The sequence below is a fragment of the Homo sapiens genome, chromosome 8 (assembly GCF_000001405.40).
Source record: "Homo sapiens chromosome 8, GRCh38.p14 Primary Assembly".
NCBI lineage: Eukaryota > Metazoa > Chordata > Mammalia > Primates > Hominidae > Homo > Homo sapiens.
Genome location: NC_000008.11, coordinates 112,518,426 through 112,539,986, shown reverse-complemented (window position 1 = coordinate 112,539,986; position 21,561 = coordinate 112,518,426). Strand labels below are relative to the sequence as shown.

Here is a 21,561-nt window from a genome sequence, read left to right as displayed (position 1 = left end):
AATATTTTCTCCCATTCTGTAGGTTATCTCTTCACTCTGTTGATTGTTTACTTTGCTTTACAGAAGCTGTTTAGTTTGATATAATCACATTCGTTTAGTTTTGCTTGTGTTGCCTGTATTTTGAGGTCTTATGCAAAAAATATTTGCCAGAACTAATGTCCTGAAGTATTTCCCAATGTTTTCTTCTGGTAGTTTCATAGATTAAGGACTTACATTTAGGTCTTAACCTATTTTGATTTTAGTTTTGTGTATGGTGAGAGATAGGGGTCTAGTTTTATTCTTCTACGTATGGATATCCAATTTCTGCAGCACAATTTATTGAAGTCCTTTCACAGTGTATCTGTTAAAAATGAGTTGGCTGTAGATGTATGGATTTATTTCTGAGTTATTTTTCCTCTTCCATTCGTCTGTGTGTCTATTTTTATGTCAGTATCACACTGTCTTGATTACTGTAGCTTTGCAGTATATTTTAAAGCCAGATAGCTTGATGCCACTAAGCTATCTTTATTCTTTTTGCTCCCAAATTGCTTTAGTTATTCACGTTCTTTTCTGATCCTATAGGAATTTTAGAATTTTTAAAAAATTTTCTCTGAAGAGTGGCATTGGTACTTTTTTTTAAATAAAAAAATGAACTCTGGCAAGTTTTACTAAATAAAAATTTTGCATTGTTTACTTTTCACCAGACTATTCTGGCATGCTTCTAATGATATCAGAATCACCCGGATTAATGATAGCCAGTATGCATTGTATGTAGTATATTTCACATGCTGTACCCAATTCAGTGTTATTGCCACTGTAGTGGTGGATAGCAGTTTTGGCCAACAATACTTAGTACTCTAATTCAGATTTCTTCAAAGTCAGGCAGTTTCTAAAAAGGATGATGAATTTTGCTTTGCCTTGTCTGATCATCTTCAGAGTTGGCTTGTACCTTAGCATATTTTTAATATGTTGTTGTGTTCAGTTTGCTAGTATTTGGTTGAGGCTCTTTGCATCTATGTTCATCTGAGATATTGGCCTATACTTTCCACTTTTCATAATGAGTTGGACTCCAGAGTTAATTGACTCCAGTGAGGTTTTCATCTTCTTTGTGGCCCCCATCTTCCTGCCTTAGGTGCAGGACAGGCCCCACTCAAGAGCACCCACCAAGATGGCCAAGGAGCAAGAAAATGGCATTGGTACTTTGGAAGAAATTACTCTGAATTTGTAAATGACTTTGGGTAGTAAGGACCTTATAAAAATATTAATTCTTCCAATCTATGAACACTTAAATGTCTTTCCATTTTTCTTGTGTCCTATTGTTTTAATAGTGTTTTATAAATTTCATTGTAGAGAGATTTCACTCCTTTAGTTAAATTTATTTCTAGGTATTTTATATATTTTGTAGCTATTGTAAATGGGATTTATTTCATGATTTTTTTTCAGATGGTTTGTTATTCGTATATAAAAATGCTACTGAGTTTTGTATGTTGATTTTGTATCCTGCCACATTACTGAGTTTATTTATAAGTTCTAACAACATTTTGGTTGAATCTTTTAGGTTTCTCTAAATATAAGATCATGTCATCTGCACACAAGGACAATATTACTTCTTCCTAATTTCGATGCCTTTTTGTTTCTTTCTCTCATTTAATTGATCTGGGCAGGACTTTTAGTACTATGATGAATAAAAGTTATAAAAGTGGTCATTCTTGGCCTTGTCTTGTTCCAGATCTTAGAAAAAAGGCTGTCGACATTTCCCTGTTTAGGATGATGTTAGCTGTGGGTTTGTTGTATATGGCCTTTGTTATTTTTAGATATATTCCTTCCATAACCAGTTTGTTGAGAGTTGTTATCATTAAGGGATGCTGAATTTTGTTGACTGCTTTTTTTTTAGCATTTGTTGCAATGCTTCATATAGTTTATGTCCATGATTCTGCTAATGAGATGTATCCTGTTCACTGATTTGAATATGTTGAATGATAGTTGCATCCCAGGGATGTATCCCACTTGATCACAGTAAATGATCTTTTTAATGTGTTATTGTGTTCAATTTGCTAGTATTTGGTTGAGGCTCTTTGTTTTCTTTTCATGCTGTGTCTTTGGTTTTGGTATCAGAGTAAATTGGCCTCATAGAATGAGTTTGGAAGGGTACTTCCTTTTCAGTTTTTTGAAATAGTGTGATTAGAATTGGTATTAGGTCTTCTCTAAATGTTTGGTAGAATTCATCAGTGAATCCATTCGTTCCTGAGTTTTTTATTGATGGGGGACTTTTTTTTTTTACTACTTTGAACTCATTACTTGTTATTGGTCTGCTCAAGTTTTCTATTTCTTCATGGATCAATTTTGGTAGATTTATGTGTCTAGAAATTCATGTACTTCTAAGTTTTCCCATTGGTTTGTATATTCTTCTTCATAATAGTCTCTAATAATTCCTTGTGTTTCTGTGGTATCAGTTTTAATGTCTCATTTTTTGGCTGTGATTTTTACCTGAGGCTTCTCTCTTTTCTCTTAATCTAGCTAAGAAAAAATTGTTAATTTAGTTTATCTTTTCAAAAAGAGAGTTTTCATTTTATCCTTTGTATCTTTTTTCACTCTCAATTTTTTTTCCTGTTCTGATCTTTATAATTTCTTTCCTTCTACTAATTTGGGGTTTGATTTGTCATTGTTTTCTAGTTCTTTGAGGAGCATCAGATTGTTAATTTGAAGACGTTCTACTTCTTTGTATAGGTGTTTCCTGCTATAAATTAGTACTGCTGTTGTTGTATATTTTAGGTTTTATTTGGGGTGTTTTGTTTACATTTCCTTTTTTCAAGAAATCTTTTTTTTTATTTTATTATTATTATACTTTAAGTTTTAGGGTACATGTGCACAATGTGCAGGTTAGTTACGTATGTATACATGTGCCATGCTGGTGTGCTGCACCCATTATCTCGTCATTTAGCATTAGGTATATCTCCTAATGCTATCCCTCCCCCTTCCCCCTACCCCAAAATGGTCCCTAGAATGTGATGTTCCCCTTCCTGTGTCCAAGTGTTCTCATTGTTCAATTCCCACCTACGAGTGAGAATATGCGGTGTTTGGTTTTTTGTTCTTGCAATAGTTTACTGAGAATGATGATTTCCAATTTCATCCATGTCCCTACAAAGGACATGAACTCATCATTTTTTATGGCTGCATAGTATTCCATGGTGTATATGTGCCACATTTTCTTAATCCAGTCTATCATTGATGGACATTTGGGTTGGTTCCAAGTCTTTGCTATTGTGAATAGTGCCGCAATAAACATACGCATGCGTGTGTCTTTATAGCAGCATGAATTATAGTCCTTTGGGTATATACCCAGTAATGGGATGGCTGGGTCAAGTGGTATTTCTAGTTCTAGATCCCTGAGGAATTGCTACACTGACTTCCACAATGGTTGAACTAGTTTACAGTCCCACCAACAGTGTAAAAGTGTTCCTATTTCTCCACATCCTCTCCAGCACTTGTTTCCTGACTTTTTAATGATTGCCATTCTAACTGGTGTGAGATGGTATCTCATTGTGGTTTTGATTTGCATTTCTCTGATGGCCAGTGATGGTGAGCATTTTTTCATGTGGTTTTTGGCTGCATAAGTGTCCTCTTTTGAGAAGTATCTGCTCATGTCCTTTGCCCACTTTTTGATGGGGTTGTTTAGTTTTTCTTGTAAATTTGTTTGAGTTCATTGTAGATTCTGGATATTAGCCCTTTGTCAGATGAGTAGGTTGCGAAAATTTTCTCCCATTTTGTAGGTTGCCTGTTCACTCTGATGGTAGTTTCTTTTGCTGTGCAGAAGCTCTTTAGTTTAATTAGATCCCATTTGTCAATTTTGGCTTTTGTTGCCATTGCTTTTGGTGTTTTGGACATGAAGTCCTTGCCCATGCCTATGTCCTGAATGCTAATGCCTAAGTTTTCTTCTAGGGTTTTTATGGTTTTAGGTCTAACATTTAAGTCTTTAATCCATCTTGAATTAATTTTTGTATAAGGTGTAAGGAAGGGATCCAGTTTCAGCTTTCGACATATGGCTAGCCAGTTTTCCCAGCACCATTTATTAAATAGGGAATCCTTTCCCCATTGCTTGTTTTTCTCAGGTTTGTCAAAGATCAGATAGTTGTAGGTATGTGGCATTATTTCTGAGGGCTCTGTTCTGTTCCATTGATCTATATCTCTGTTTTGTTACCAGTACCATGCTGTTTTGGTCACTGTAGCCTTGTAGTATAGTTTGAAGTCAAGTAGCATGATACCTCCAGCTTTGTTCTTTTGGCTTAGGATCGACTTGGCGATGCGGGCTCTTTTTTGGTTCCATATGAACTTTAAAGTAGTTTTTTCCAATTCTGTGAAGAAAGTCATTGGTAGCTTGATGGGGATGGCATTGAATCTATAAATTACCTTGGGCACTATGGCCATTTTCACAATATTTATTCTTCCTACCCATGAGCATGGAATGTTCTTCCATTTGTTTGTATCCTCTTTTATTTCATTGAGCAGTGGTTTGTAGTTCTCCTTGAAGAGGTCCTTCACATCCCTTGTAAGTTGGATTCCTAGGTATTTTATTCTCTTTGAAGCAATTGTGAATGGGAGTTCACTCATGATTTGGCTCTCTGTTTGTCTGTTATTGGTGTATAAGAATGCTCGTGATTTTTGTACACTGATTTTGTATCCTGAGACTTTGCCGAAGTTGCTTATCAGCTTAAGGAGATTTGGGGCTGAGACAATGGGGTTTTCTAGATATACAATCATGTCATCTGCAAACAGGGACAATTTGACTTCCTCTTTTCCTAATTGAATACCCTTTATTTCCTTCTCCTGCCTAATTGCCCTGGCCAGAACTTCCAACACTATGTTGAATAGGAGTGGTGAGAGAGGGCATCCCTGTCTTGTGCCAGTTTTCAAAGGGAATGCTTCCAGTTTTTGCCCATATTGGCTGTGGGTTTGTCATAGACAGCTCTTATTATTTTGAGATATGTCCCATCAATACCTAATTTATTGAGAGTTTTTAGCATGAAGGGTTGTTGAATTTTGTCAAAGGCCTTTTCTGCATCTATTGAGATAATCATGTGGTTTTTTTCTTTGGTTCCGTTTATATGCTGGATTACATTTATTGATTTGCATATATTGAACCAGCCTTGCATCCCAGGGATGAAGCCCACTTGATCATGGTGGATAAACTTTTTGATGTGCTGCTGGATTCGGTTTGCCAGTATTTTATTGAGGATTTTTGCATCAATGTTCATCAAGGATATTGGTCTAAAATTCTCTTTTTTGGTTGTGTCTCTGCCTGGCTTTGGTATCAGAATGATGCTGGCCTCATAAAATGAGTTAGGGAGGATTCCCTCTTTTTCTATTGATTGGAATAGTTTCAGAAGGAATGGTACCAATTCCTCCTTGTACCTCTGGTAGAATTTAGCTGTGAATCCATCTGGTCCTGGACTCTTTTTAGTTGGTAAGCTATTGATTTTTGCCACAATTTCAGAGCCTGTAATTGGTCTATTCAGAGATTCAACTTCTTCCTGGTTTAGTCTTGGGAGAGTGTATGTGTCGAGGAATTTATCCATTTCTTCTAGATTTTCTAGTTTATTTGCTAGTTTATTTAGGTGTTTGTAGTATTCTCTGATGGTAGTTTGTATTTCTGTGGGATTGGTGGTGATATCCCCTTTATCATTTTTTATTGTGTCTGTTTGATTCTTCTCTCTTTTCTTCTTTATTAGTCTTGCTAGTGGTCTATCAATTTTGTTGATCCTTTCAAAAAACCAGCTCCTGGATTCATTAATTTTTTGAAGACTTTTTTGTGTCTCTATTTCCTTCAGTTGTGCTCTGATTTTAGTTATTTCTTGCCTTCTGCTAGCTTTTGAATGTGTTCACTCTTGCTTTTCTAGTTCTTTTAATTGTGATGTTAGGGTGTCAATTTTTTATCTTTCCTGCTTTCTCTTTCAAGAAATCTTTTAATTTCCTTCTTAATTTCTTCACTGACCCATTGGTTGTTCAGGAGCATGTCATTTAATTTCCATGTTATTTGTACAATTTCTAATGTTTCTTTTGTCTTTGATTTCTGGTTTTATTCCATTATAGTCAGAAAAGATGATTCAAATATTGTGGAATTTGTCAAGACTTGTTTTGTGGCATAACCTATGCTCTATCTCAGAGAATGTTCCTGGTGCTAATGAGAAGTATGTATACTCTGCAGCAGCTGGATACAATCTTTTGTAAATGTCAAGTAGGTCCATTTGGTGTGCAGTGTAGTTTTATTCCAATGTTTCTTTGCTGATTTTCTGTCTGGATGATCTATCTATTGCTGATTGTGGAGTGTTGAAGTCCCCCACTATTATTGTACTGTTCTTTCTCTCTCCCTTTAGCTGTATTAATATCTGCTGTAAATATTTGGATGCTTTGATATTGGGTACATATATATATATTTATGATTGTTATATCCTCTTGATAAATGGACCCCTTCATTATTACATAATGAATTCCTTTGTATCTTTTCAGTTTTTTGACTTGCCATCTATTTTATCTAAGTATAGCTACTCTTGCTCTTTTTTTGGTTTCCGTTTGCATAAAATACATGTTTCATTCCTTCACATTCAGTATATGCATGTCCTTATAGATGAGTATGTTCCTTGTAAGCAGCATATATTTGGGTCTTATTTTTTCGTTCATTCAGCCACTTTGTTTTTCAATTGAAAATTGAGTCAATTTACATTCAATGCCATTATTGATAGATAAGGACTTACAAATGTCATTTTGTTACTTTTTTTTCTGGTTATTTTATAACTCCTCTTTTTCTTTCTTCTTCACTTCCTTTGTGGTTAAGTGATTTTCTTAACCACAAAGTTAGTATGTTTGAATCCCTTGCTTTTTATTTTTACTTTCTCTATTATAAGTCTATGTTTTGTGATTACTGTATGGCTTACAAAGAAAATCTTTTAGTTGTACAAGTTATTTTAAACTAATGGCTACTTAAGGTTAGTGGCAGAGAAAAGCACAGAAACAAACAAAGAAATATCTATAAAGCCCTGCATTTTGATTTCATACTCCTCCCCATATTTAGGCTTTTTGTTGTATCAACTTATATCTTTCCATATTGTCTATCTCCTAAGAAACTGTTATAGTTGTTATTTTTGATAGATGTGTCTTTTCTTCTTCAGACTAAAGACACAAGTGTTACACACCACAATTACAGTATTAGAATATTCTGAATTTGTCTGTGAACTTAATTTTACCAGTGAGTTTTATACTTTCAGATGATTTCTTGCTGTATATTAACATCCTTTTTTTTTCAGATGGAAGGACTCTTATTAGCATTTCTTGTAAAACAGTTATGATGATGAAGACTCTTAACTTTGTTTGTGAAAGTTTTTATTTCTCCTTCATGTTTGAAAGGCAGTTTTTCTCACTACTATATTCTTGGTTAGAAATTTTTTTGCCTTTAGCACTTTGAATATTCCATGACACTCTCTCATAGCTTGCTGAGAAGTCTACTGCCAAATGTATCATAGCTCATTGATATGTTATTTGCTTTGCTTTTGCTGTTTGTAGAATCCTCTTTGTCCTTGACATTTGAGAGTTTGATTATTAAATGCCCTGGGATAGTGTTATTTTGATTGACTCTGCTTTGTGATCTTTGACCTTTTTATACCTGGATATTCATATTTTTCTCTAAATTTGGAATGTTCTCTGTTATCATTTCTTTGAATATATTTTGTATCCCTACCTCTCACTCCTTCTTTAAGTCCAATGACACTTAGATTTGCCTTCTTGAAGCCATTTTCTAAATCTCGTAAGCCTTCTTTATTCTTCTTAATCCTTTGACTGTGTATTTTCAAATAACCTATCTTCCATGTCATGAATTCTTTCTTCTGCTTAATCAATTCTGCTGTTGAGACACTCTAATGCATTTTTGCATTCATCAGTTCATCAATTGTATTTTTCATCTCTAGGTTTCTGTTTGATTTTTTAAATTATTTATATTTATATATATAATTTATCTAATAAACTTCTAAACTGATTATCTGAGTTTCTTGAAGTTCACTGAGCTTCCTCAAATTAGCTATTTTGAATGCACCAAAAGGTTGCATATCTCGGGCACTCCAAGGTTAATCACTGGCGCCTTAGTTAGTCTGTTTGCTTAGATCATATTTTCTTGAATGTTCTTGAGGCTTGTGGACATGTGTCAATCAATGTCTGGGCATTTCAGAGTTAGTTATTTATTCCAGTTTTCACAATCTGGCCTTGTTAGTACCCATCCTTCTTCAGAGAACATTTCAAAAATTCAAATAGGATTTATTATTGAGTTCCCCAAGCTTGTAGTCACTGCAGCTGTTTTAGTACTAGAGAGTATTCTAAGTCCAACTGCACTGCAACCATCTAGTGGACTTCTATGTACTTATTTCTGATGGACTTTTGGGAGATCATGGAAAATTTCTTGGGTTGCCAGGATGATCCTTCACTCACTTTCGTCTCTTTACCTCAAACAGGAGTCTCTTCATACTCAGCTGCCTGGAGTTTGGGAAGGGGTTACATGGCCATTCCTGTGGCTGTTGTAACTGGCACCCAAAGCCTGCAACCTTCCAGACCAGCACAGCACTGAGGCTCACCCAATGCCCATAATCATGGCCTGACTGCTGCTGATGTTTATTGATAGCCTCAGGCCTCTTTAAGCAGCTGGTAGTGAAGCCAGCTCAGATTTGGGTTTGTTCCATCCTGCCAGGGTAGCAGATTTCCTTCTAGCATGGGGTGGATCTAGAAGAATTGATGGGAGCAGTGGCCTGAAATCAGGGGCTTTGGGGATCTGCCGCATGCTGTGTTGTGCTGTGGTGGCACTGTACTAGTTTCCAAGGCAAAGTCCCCCGTACTCTTCCCTCTCCTTCCCTCAAGTGGAAGATGTCTCTCTGTTTGTCTCTGCACTGTGCTAGGGGAGGGGTAACTGTGTTAGGGGAGGGGTGACATAGGCACTTCTGTGGCCCCCGCAGCTGATGTCACACTGGGTTGCATCATAAGCCCACAGCCTTCCAGGTCATTGCAGCACTGGGGCTCACCCAAAGACCATGGTCACTACAGAATTGCTGCCACTGAAATTTATTTGAGGCCCAAGACCATTTCAGTCAGCTAGGGCTTAAGCCCTTCTGCCGTGGCTGTGGCTACAGATTTCTATCTTGCCTGGTGTAAGAATAAGTATTCCCTCTGTGGGTATTGGCTCGGAGTCAAGGGCTTTGGAATTCTGCCCAATGCTGTGTTACATTGTGGTAGGATCAACACGGACTTCTAATGCAAAGTCCCAACTGAGTTTTATATATTCTTGTGTTGTACGTTTGCTGTGTAGAATCCTTTCATTTCAAATTGAAGAACTTTCTTGGCATTTCTCCTAAGGCATGTCTAATGGTGATGAGCTCCTTCAGCTTTTGTTTGGGAGTCTTTTTCCAACCTTCATTTTTGAAAGACAGTTTGACCGTGTATGGTGGCAGGCTATTTTTTCTTTCCACATTTTAAATATACCATCACTCTCCTTTATGGTCTGCAAAGTTTCTGCTGAAATAGCTACTCTTATGGAGCTTCCCTTATATGTGACAAGTTGTTCTTCTCTTTCTGCTTTCAAAATGTTTTCTTTGTCTTTGATGACTATTGACAATTTGCTTGTAATGTGTCTCAGTATGGATTTATTTAGGTTACTCTTATTTGGTGTTCTTTGGACTTCTTGGGTCTGGATGTTCATTTCATTCTCCAGGTTTGGGAAAATTTTAGCTATTATTTATTTGAGTAAACTGTCCTGTTTTTCTTTTTCTCTTATCCTTCTGACACTCTCATAATGTAAATATTGGTCCCTAAATTGTGAGCCTTAAGGTTTCTTCACTTTTTTCATTATTTTGTTCTTTTTGCTCTTTTGACTGAATTATTTTTAATGATGTGTCCTTGAGTTGCTGGTCCTTTTATTAGCTTGATCTAGTCTGCTGCTGGACCTCGCTAGTTATTTTTCACTTTAGTTATTGTGTTCTTCAGCCGCATGATTTCTGTTTGGTACTTTCTTATATTTTCTATCTGTTTGTTGGAATTCTCATTTTGTTCATGCATGATTCTCTTGAGCTTTCTGAGCATCTTTATGATAGTTATTTTTATTTGTCTGTCAGATAAATTATATAGCTTCATTTTATTAAGGCTGCTGTCTGGAGATTTATCTTATTCCTTTGTTTGAATTATTTTTTTCTGATTCTTAATTTTCCTTGATGCTCTGCATTGGCATATGTGTATTATCCAATTATACACACTGCATCCCGTCTTCCCAGACTCTGCTTGTACCAGAGAAGACCACCATCAACCAGCCTGGCCAGAGATTCTAGAGTCTCTACCAACAACTCTTTCCCTTTACAAGGAGAAACAGACAGCTGGATTTTTGTTGGTTTGTTTTTTTGAGGCAGAGTCTTGCTCTGTCATCCAGGCTGGAGTGCAGCGGCATGCTTACAGCTCACGGCAGTCTGAACCTCCCAGGCTCAAACTGATCCTTCTGCCTCAGCCTTCTGAGTAGCTGAGACTACAGACATGCACCACTCTGCTGGCTAATTTTTGTACTTTTTGTAGGGTTGTGGTTTTGCCATGATGTTCAGGCTGGTCTCAAACTCCTGAACTCGGCCTTTCAAATATTCAAAGTGCTAGGATTATAGGTGTGAGCCACTGTACCGCATTAACTGTGCTTTTTGTGTATTTGCTCTGTGCTGACCCACTGGGGGAAACTATGACACTACCAGTCCAAACCACTATTTCCATTATCCCTTATTTGTGGCAGACCAGTTAGAGTTCTAAGACTGGCAAATAGTTGCCAGTTCTTTAGGCAATCCCGGCAAAGTTGGGGCATTGGATGCTTAGATCAACTCTTTTTCTTCTCAGAGAGAAGCTGAGAGCTGATTTTGTTTGTTTATTTGTTGTTTTTTTGTGGTTGCTGTTGTTGCTCATGTTATGCTGAGCAGCAAAGAAGACTTGGGACATCTGAGCAGCAGGGAAGCTTGAAGCTAGGGGCATCAATTGCCCCTAGCTTCCATCTCTGTTTTCCCCAGCTGGTGTACTGCGCTGGTCCCATCAGAGATCCAAGACTGGCAAGACAGAAGCCAGACCTTTGTGGAGTCCTCTTGGAATGGTTGGGGTGCTACATGTGCAAACCAAGGCCTTTCTCCTCTGGGAGAAGCTGGGAGCTAGGAGTGAATCGCTTCCTGATTATATGTCACTGTGCCAGTGGTGAGGAGTCTGGCGAGAGGGTGTTCTGGATCTCTCTGCTAGTTTTGGTCAGTCTGGTTTCACATTCACCTGGGCTGCAGGAGCCTTTCACTTAGTTTCTGGATTTCTCATAAAGGAAATTTGTCGATGATTTGTTCCTGAATTTGTGTTTTTTTGGGGTAGAGTGTACAGGACTTTCTACTTTGCCATTGTGCTGATGTCACTTGTCATGTTCTTTTTATTGGAATTATTTCCTAAATTAAAGTGCTCCTTGGTATTCAATTTATCACTGGCATCACGACATCTTTGTTAGTAACAGGTTTTTTTTTCCTAATTACTTGCTAGCATGTTATGAAGAATGGGATATTTTGATTGAGAATTTACTGTGTTTGAATCCTGGTTTACTGTGTTTAAATCCTGGTATATGTTGGGACTTTAGACCTAAGAGTGTATAACTAGTTATTTTAAGATATTATTACTTGGTTTTTTTTAATGAATAAATTGCCTACAATCTTTAAGATGATAAATCATTAGAATAGATGTTTGGATTGGCTACATGATTTTTAAATTTTTAGTACTTATATTAAGGAGTATGTATAAACTGCTAATAATATCTGCACACTAATTACAAAAAAACTCAATTAAAATTTTTTTAAAAAGTGGTGATGAACTTGCAACTTGCATACAGTGTATTAGTTAATGTACATGAGGACCATAGTGTTATCACTGATGATGTGAAAACCAGAAGACACAAATATGTTTTAAAAAGCAGGACCTTGTATTTAGGTCAGATGAATACTATACGAATTTCATCACTTTGTATTCTAAATTCTCTTCTGAGAAAGTATGAAGAGTGTTAATATGCCAGCTCCCTTAGCAGAACTTCACAAATAGTTGAATAAATCTATTTTTATGTGAGTCACATCAATTGCTTCAAATAATCAGTAACATTGATTGCCTCAAATACTTAAATTCCAATGCAAGTTTTATTTTTGTATTCATTTCATGAAGTCAAAATAAAGTCTTTGAAAGTTGATTGTGTTAAAGATAAACATATATTATACATTCAGTTAAAAATTAATATTTTATTAGTTTTAAATTTACTGAGACTTGTTTTACTGAGAAAACCATAGCCCAACATGTTTTTTTAAAAAAAATACCTTGTGCACCTACCTAAAAAAAAGTATATTACCATTGTTTTTGAAGTGTTTTATAAATATCAATTTTGTTGATAGTGTTAATTATTCAATATCATTACTTCACTTATTTTATCAACTACTCAAGAAAAGTGTTAAAATGCCCCACTGCAGTTTCACATTTGTCTATTTATTCTTTTTATCTCTTACTTTTATTTTTTGCCTCATGTGTTTTGAAGATATGTTATGAGCTGCATACATTTTGGATGCTATGGGTTTTTTTTGACCCTTTTTTGACCCTTTTATTGATATGAAATCTGTCTCTTTTTCTCTGGTAATTTTCCTTGTGTTAAAGTTTACTTTTTCTATATATATATCATATGATGCCTTTTAGCATCTTTTTACTTTTAAGTTATCAGTGTCTTTATATTTAAAGTAGACTACTAGTAAATAGCTTATGGTTGCATCTTGATTTTTTATTGTTTGAAAATCTCTCTCCCTTAGTTGGAGTCTTTTAACCATTAGACTACTTATATTTAATATAATTATTCACTTGGTTAAAGTTTGTCTACCATATTGCTATTTTTTTTATTGAATCCACCTGTTAATTGTTACTTTTTTCTTACCATCATTTTTTTCTCTTCTATTAGCTTATTAGCTATACCTCTTTTGGGAGGAAAGAAAGCATTTGCTCTAACTCTTGTAACGTGTATCTTTGGCTTATGAAAACCTGTCATTATGTCAAATAGACAAACCTATCATTAAATAATATTATACCACCTCACATATAATGTAAGAACCCTCTAATAGTGTATTTCCATTTCCTTCTTCAGTTCTTTGGGGCATGTTTTCATTTATCTTACTTTTACATATGTTATAAACATCACAACCCTTTTAAAAAAACTTTAAGCAAAAAAATTATCTTTTAAATATTTAAAGTGAGCAAAGGCCACAAATTAAAATTTAATATTAAAGATAAAATTATTTATTTTGTGATAAAATACAAATGTAAATTTTGGTGGTACATAACCTTATAATAAAAGCAAAGCTCTTATAAAATTAAAAAACAGAAATGTACTAGGAATTGGTTGTTGTATACACAAAATTCATAATTGCAACCAATAAAATTGTAATAATTACCCATCACAATAAAACTGTTGTTAAAATATACAAATATTTTTATATGCAGTTGAAATAATTGAACTAAGTGGTGTGTGTTTGTGGGTTGTGGGTGTGGTTGTGTGAGAGAGAGAGAGAGACAAAGTAAAGCTGATTCAAAAAATAAATAAAAGAACATAGTATGCCAGTACCATGTTCTCTTTTTCCAGATCATTGTCAATAAGTCCTAGAAAGGTTTGGGTTTTTGAAGTACTATTTTGCAAATAAACTAAAATGCCCTACTATGATATTGAATGATTTTGAAAATAAAACGTTTACATTTTGATAGCTATTCATTAAAATCCACTGAATATCTTAAAATATTCAGTTAGTACAGTGCTAAAAATCTTCAGTTTTTACAATTTTAAGTAAATAGCAATTATTGAAAACAATAACTGAAATTGAAACAATAACAATAATTGAAAGCAATTATTGAAAACAATAAACAGGAAGACACTTAAGTGTGATTTCTTTAGAAGAATGAAAGTTCAAACACTGTACAATATTAAAATTTGAAACTTTAGTATTTTAGTATGCCTTGACTTGTTAAAGGGTCTTTATATATATATTTATATATATAAAATATATATACATATATAAAATATATATATTTATATATATAAAAAACAAAAACTATATATATAAAGACCCTGTATATATATATATATATTTTTTATATGTGTGTGTATATATATATATACATATATATATACACACACATATAAATATATATATATATATATATGTATATATATGGTTTTTGGGGTTTTTTTGGGAGGACGGAGTCTCGCTCTGTCGCTCAGGCTGGAGTGCAGTGGCGAGATCTTGGCTCCAGGCATGTTCCACCTCCTGGGTTCACGCCATTCTCCTGCCTCAGCCTCCCAAGTAGCTGGGACTACAGGTGCCCGCCACCACGCCTGGCTAATTTTTTTGTATTTTTAGTAGAGACGGGGTTTCACCATGTTAGCCAGGATGGTCTCGATTTCCTGACCTCGTGATCCGCCCGCCTCGGTCCACCATAGTGCTGGGATTACAGGCGTGAGCCACTGCTCCCGGCCTTTTGATAGTTATTTTTAATTGGATTAAACTTCTACTTTATTCTGGGATAGAATAAAGTTAAGAAAATGTATATTTAATATAAATCATATATAAATAAAATTTTATATATAAAATTTATTTTGTATATAATTATACAGCTTGTAGATAAATATTTCAAAACATAATTTAAGAAAACTTGTTTGACAAGTTTCATATTATAAAAGTGTGTCAAAAATGTATTCTGAAAAGAAGTTAAAATTCAGTACATGTGAAAATATTTGAGCTGAAATGTTTACGTACTGCTTAATGAAAATAAAAATAAAATTGAAATTTTTCTTCATTTCAAAGAATTAAACCTGAGCTTACCAGGTAGCTAACACTTACAAAGAGGAAATTTTCTCAATTAAAAATAGTATGGCTTATGATGATATCAGTCGAGCTACCGACAGTTTAAAATATATAAAAATGTTTCTGGCAATACTAATAAAAATAAGAATATATTGAAAAAACACATTCTTTAGAAAAAATAGTAAAAAGGGCATTAAATGTGGCTAAGAAACCAATTAAAGAATGAACATGTGTAACAGAAATGATTATTTTGCACGTTATTTTAATATTCAGATAATTCATATAAAGAAGATGCTTTTTGTACACAGATGTCATTTTAATTTTTTAGAAATTATTTTATTTTTAAAATAGATTTTGTATAACTATTGTGAGACATACATCAATATAATATCAATTATGTTACTCAATACATATTTTAATTATATAATTTTATTTACTTTTAGCTTCTTGTTTCATGCTTAATAATTTTTTCAGTTTCAATAACAAAGTCATCAGATTTTGATACACATGTTATTATTTTAAAACTATGTTCACATCTACTATTCCTCTTAGCCTGTGTTCCTTGAAGGGTAAGGATATCATCCTGTTGATATTTGTGTCCCCATAACTTGGCACGGTACCTGGTACTTGGTACTTAGTAAATATTTAACGAATCTGATTGAATGGGTAAATCTTCTAATAATGTAAAACTAAAAACATACAAATACTGTATAGTGTCAGTCAGAAGTAATGTGAAACCATTTTTACATAATTTTTATTTCTTTTTTTTTTTTACTTACTAATACTGGTCATCCCCATATACTAGAATTCTATTTCAAATCAACTCATATTTTCTGTAATCTTTGGATGTAAAATGAGTTTCTTGTACAGATCCTTTTGATAGTCTTCAACCTAACAAGCCTTTGATTCCACAAAAATTATATCATTGACTGTATATGATATGATATGATATGATACAATGCCAACAACTTTTGTAGGCATACTGGAGCATAAGAATCTATGAAAGCAGGGCTGTGTTGTTTCTGTTAATATCTCCAACATCAAGCATAATACCTGGCTCAATAATTATTTGGTGTAATAAATGCATATGCATTTTTAAAAAAGAGATTTCTATATACTTGGAAGTATATTACAACACTGGCTTTGAGGTTTCTTTTCCATACCATGCATTAAGCAGCTTTGTTTCTTTCCTAGGTTGTTTAGAATGTGTCTGTCATGCTGCCATCAACTTTAACCTGACTTGCCATATCATTAGATGTATCCTTAGTAACATAATGAAATTCTAAAGATAGCCACATTTCTGAGTAGCTGGCAGAGTGTGGGCCTAATAATGATGTTGAACATTCTTTATAAAATTGATGGATCATGTACAAAGCAAGGGCTCAATCAAGGGCAAAATTCTCCAGGGTGAAATCCACCTCTAGGTTACCATCTGCATTTCAAATATTTTCTAATTGATTTGACTCTGGATGAGATTTTTCTCACAGGTTAAGTATTCCCATTACCCATCTTGATTTTCTTATAGATAGGGAAGTGGAGAATACAGTGTCATTTTTTAGCCAATACAAAAATATAAGGCAATAAAGCTGAAAGAGAGGGATGTGAGAAACTGTGAATACCAAATTTGGCCCATGACCTTGCTAAGTCTCCTGACACATGGCAAAAAATATAAAATTACTGCTTAGAAAACCTATACAGAGCATATTAAAGTGTACTTGTGTTTTTTCATTTCAGAATTGTATTTTCATAGGATTATGAATATAATTGTTAGAATAAAAATTTAATATTTTGTCTGATTCTAAATAAAGCAGATGAAATATTCCTAGGCCAGTTTTACAGATAAGGCAGGAAAGATTCAGGGAACTAATACAAGGGATTAATATCTTTTCTTAATACGGTACACTAAGTCTAAGTCTCCTGCTTCTGATATCATTACTCATCCAACTGTATGAGATCCAAGATTTTTCTTCTTTGAAAGGTCTTGAAATAAACAAGTTTATACCAAAAAGTCGATTTTCTGAACATAAAGGACACATAAGAACTTAAGAGTGATTTCAGTGTATTTATTCTTTGTTATACCAAGCAAAGCAGTAAGAAAACCGGCGTGTTTTCTTTTGCTCTTGTCACCACAATGGTAATTCAACTTATCTCTGACTTCAAGTAATCATCCATATTTCAGTTGAAAACTACATATGCACCAGCTCGGCTTGTGAAATCTATATTAAGTGAAGTGCATATTTCCAGTGAAATTATACTCCCAACTAGATGGAAGCAAAGATAAAATAAGTGAGAAGTATATTGACAGTAGCAATAATGAGAACTCAGTTATATTTTGCAGTAGTTAGAGCCATCTGGTTATTTTCTGAACAAACCCTAGGTTATTCATAACAGAGTAAAGCGATTAAAATGTAATGTAAATATTGTTATGGCACACTTGAAATAAACATCTCCTGGCTTCAAAATAATATCATATTATAAATAAACCTTCAGCATACACTGAAATGACAAATGACAGTTTTGTTCATTCATTTATTCATTCATTCATTCATTTGTTTTTAACTATAATAAGAAGTTCTCTTCAAATTCTTGTACTGATGGACAATTTATTTCTTCCTAGGGCATAGCAAAGCTAGATTTGATAAGGACGTGTTACTTAATGACGAATGCTATGAACTCTTTCAGTGGATTTAGATCAGTGAAGAAGATTGATGGCATTGTAAAAACAATTTCTAAGTAATATATGCTTTCTCAGATAAGCATACATTCTTTTACAATGAATTCAAAGAGATTCCTTATATATAATTAGAATAAAACAACATATCTTGAAAAATTGTTTCTTCTACGTATAAGCAGTTAGAAAATTGCATTACTTTTACATGTCTATCTTTTTTCACATTCGGGGTAATGAGAATTTTAGCCATGGGTACAGTTATTTGTTTTTAGTGGAATAGAAACAGTTCTATTTTGAAAGTAAAAATTTGTCATAGCAAATGTATTTCTAATTTATTATAACAACCAGATAGAAAAACTCATTTTATTAGAAATAAATGGTAGCATACAAAGTAAAATCACTGGCATAAAAAGTAGTGTAAAAATTAGAAGATTTTATATTTTTGCTAATGTTCACTCTATTTCTTATGTCAACGATTTTTACCTTCTATTTTGAACAATTTCTAAAACATATTTTTATATGGTTATTATAATAAATTAGAAGTACATTTACAATGACATCAATTGTCTAGGAAAAATTTATATAGGTGAAATTTTATACTTATTTTTTACATTTTTACTTTCTAAATCAGAAGATTAAAAGGTTTTATAATTTTACAATATTTTGGACATAGTAAGTTAAGGAACCTACCAGATATCTAAGTACAGAAGTTAAATAGGCACTTGAAGAGAATGGTTAAGAGCTCAGAAAAAAGTTGAGGCTGGATATACAAATTTCAGGGGCATCAAGCTAAAAATAATACTTAAACTTATGAAGTTATTTAGTGAGAAATTGTGGAAAGAAGGGACAAGAGCATTAAGGACTAATTCCTAAGGTACTCCAGCCCTCAGTCATTAGGTTATCAAGTAACAAAAGCAAAAGATACCAAAAGAGAGCAGCAAATAAGCCAGAAAGAAAACCAGACTAGGCTGATGAATCGGAGGCCAAAAAACAAAACAACAAAATAAAAAACAGTGCTTGAAGAAGGAAGGAATAGTCAGCTTTAATAAATGTTGCTGAAAGGTTTTTGAAAGAAACCATAAAAGTTACCACTGGATATGGCAGCCTGGATTTAAAAACAGTGGAATAGAGGAAAGACTGACGATAAAACTGGAGACAATTGTATAGAAACTTCTCTCAGGAGATATATTTAATAGATTTTCTATTAAAGAAAGCAGAGAAATGGGAAAGCAGCTGAAAGAGGATGGGGATATTATAAAGTTTTGTTTGTTTATTTAAAATGGAAGATAGAAGCCACAATTACATGCTGTTGAGAATGATCCAGTATAGTACTGTACATGCGACTGAGAATGATCCAATGTGCTAGTGATGCAGAGGAGATGAAGAACATTTAGGAGTAAGTCCTTAACAGTGTTTAATACTAGCAACACAAGAACTAGGGTTGGCTTTTTACAGAACAAGGCCAACTTCTCCATTTTAAAAGACAAGGAAACAAAATATGGATGTAAATACCAGTGAGGTGATGGATTTGATGGTGTTAAGAAGAGAGTGCTTCTATCTATTGCTTTACCCTCTCAAAAAATTATAAAGAAGGAAATAAAACAAAATAAGGGATGAGAAGGAGAAACAGTGAAAAAGCAGTTGGAGTGGAAATGTTCTTCATATTGTAGTTACTTTAAAATGTTATTTGACATATATTTGGCATATATATGGCTAAACTTGGATATGTATATGAATAAATTTTATTTCTATTATTTTTAATAACCACAAATATAACCTTGCCTCTTTCTTTTCTGCTTTCCATTATAGTAAAAATGTAGGCAGCAACATATTTTTATGTGTAATAAATGGATACAAATTGTTCTATATTTCTTGCCTTTCCATTTCAAATTGGTCGAATTTTTTTTGGTCAATTCTTTCATCAATAGACAGCTGTCAGAGTTCCACTAGTAGGATATGGCTTTATGTTATTTCTGGTAATGGGATAGGTTTGTGCTGAGACAACACACTATAATGGTTAAGAGCCCTGCTGGTTGAGTTCAAATTCCAGCTCTGCTAAGAACATGCATTTAAGATCTCTGAGATCTTAAGATCTCATTTTACCCATTTAAAAATGGGGATGAAAATACCACTTTGTAAGGATTCTGTGTTTTAGCTTGAGTGTAAACTGAGCTGCTAGTCAAGTGCTTTGCATGCTATATGCTCTAAATACAGAGAGTAATTATTGCTATTATCATTATTTTATTGGTCTCTATTCTGAATTAATTGCCTTTTTAAAGTTTCTCTTTCTTAGCTGGTCTTTATTCAATTTGATATATAACAATAGAACCCTATTTAATAAGGCTTTAATGTTGACATCGGTGCAAATATTTTTAAAGAAATTAATACATTTAAGATGTTATAAATATGTAGGTTTTTGGACTACTTTAGTGAAAATAATAGGTGGATAACTGCTCGTCTGATTTTAAAATGACACTTAAAGATTAATAGCATGTTTCAGAGACTTCCATTTAAATAACCATATCGTTGAGTTTTACGCTCTATTCAACACTTAAGCACATTTTATTACAAAGGCTTTATGACTTTTATTTCAAAAATGTCCCTTGGATATGGTCTTATACCTGCATTTGTTCTTTAACTGTCCCTAAGTAATTGTATGATGTTGGGAAAGCACCTTAGCCTTTTTAAGCCTCGATTTTCTCAATGGAAAAATATGGATAATAATAGCACTCAGACTTCCTGTGAATCGAGAGGCAGCTCATAGCATGGTGTTTTAAATGTAGAAAGTGCTCAACAAGTATTACATATTAGCATTATTAGCTATTGACATATGCTTCTATTTGTATACTTTTTCTGTGTGACTATTATTATTTCTAATGAGTGTTAAGCTAATTTAAGGAGTACAGTCTACATCTGTGTAACAGACTAGTCACTGGATAATTCCTAGACTAACCAAAATGAAATTGGCCAGCACTTTTGAGGCAAAGAAAACAAGAAAGGGAAGTAATCTTTTATTGACAATTTCATGGGATTTTACAGGTCAAACTCGAATTATATTTTGATGTTATAACATATAAGCCTATTATTCACTTTCAAGTATGTTCCTTTTATGATATTATTACGAGTGAGACAACAAGGTTGTTAAGACCCTTTATCTTTGTTGGAATTTCTGCTTACTTTGCATATTTATGTTAAGGAAAAGGAGGCATGAATGGCAGACTTAAAATCTAATAAAACAAAGATGTGTTTTATTAGTCGAACATCACTCTCCACTTATAAAACCAATCCATAGGTGATATGGTTTGGCTCTGTGTCACCACCCAAATCTCATCTCTAATTGTAATCTGTGTCACCACCCAAATCTCATCTCTAATTGTAATCCCCACATGTCAGTGGAGGGGCTTGGTGGGAGGTGATTGAATCACAGGAGCGGACTTCTCCCTTGCTCTTCTCTTGATAGAGAGTGTGTTCTCATGAGATCTGGTTATTTGAAAGTGTGTGGCACTTTCCCCTTCACTCTCTCTCTCCTTCTCTGCCATGGTAAGATGTAGTTGCCTCCCCTTTGCCTTCTGCCATGATTGTAAGTTTCCTGAGGCCTCCTAGCCATGCTTCCTACTAAGCCTACAGAACTGTGAGTCAATTAAACCTCTTTTCTTCATAAATTACCCATTCCCAGGTAGTTATTTATAGCAGTGTGTTAACAGACTAATACAATATATCAATTTTAGTTTGGGTAGAAACCATTCCAGAGCAAATCAAGAAAAATTTAATGAGTAAGTTTCCCTCTCTCTCTCTCTCTCTCTCTCTCTCACACACACACACACACACACACCATTTTTTATAAAAGATCTCTATCCATAGTGGAAGACTATAATTCCTCAGATTCTTTGATGCATGATGCTCCATTTAGTGCTCTGCTGAGAAACACTGATGGATATTACAAAACAAATTCACTTATAAATTTAGTGCAGACGGACAGTCATGGCTCACTGTAGCCTTGACCTCCTAGGCTCA

The 21,561-nt window shown here is 34.0% G+C and overlaps 1 protein-coding gene and 1 pseudogene across 10 annotated transcripts in view; one reads left to right on the top strand and one right to left on the bottom strand.

Annotated features, from left to right (window-relative positions):
- The window catches only part of CSMD3 (CUB and Sushi multiple domains 3), a 1,214,012-nt gene that overhangs the window by 896,953 nt on the left and 295,498 nt on the right, over nucleotides 1-21,561 (top strand). The window contains exon 1 of one of the 10 annotated variants that reach the window (XM_011516815.3): nucleotides 8,934-9,158. The exons of the other annotated variants lie outside the window; for them this stretch is intronic. The gene's annotated coding sequence lies outside the window, so the exon portion shown is untranslated. Of the gene's footprint in view, nucleotides 1-8,933; nucleotides 9,159-21,561 lie in introns of those variants that run through there. 10 annotated transcript variants of the gene reach the window in all.
- Nucleotides 673-1,098, bottom strand: RPL30P16 (ribosomal protein L30 pseudogene 16; annotated as a pseudogene).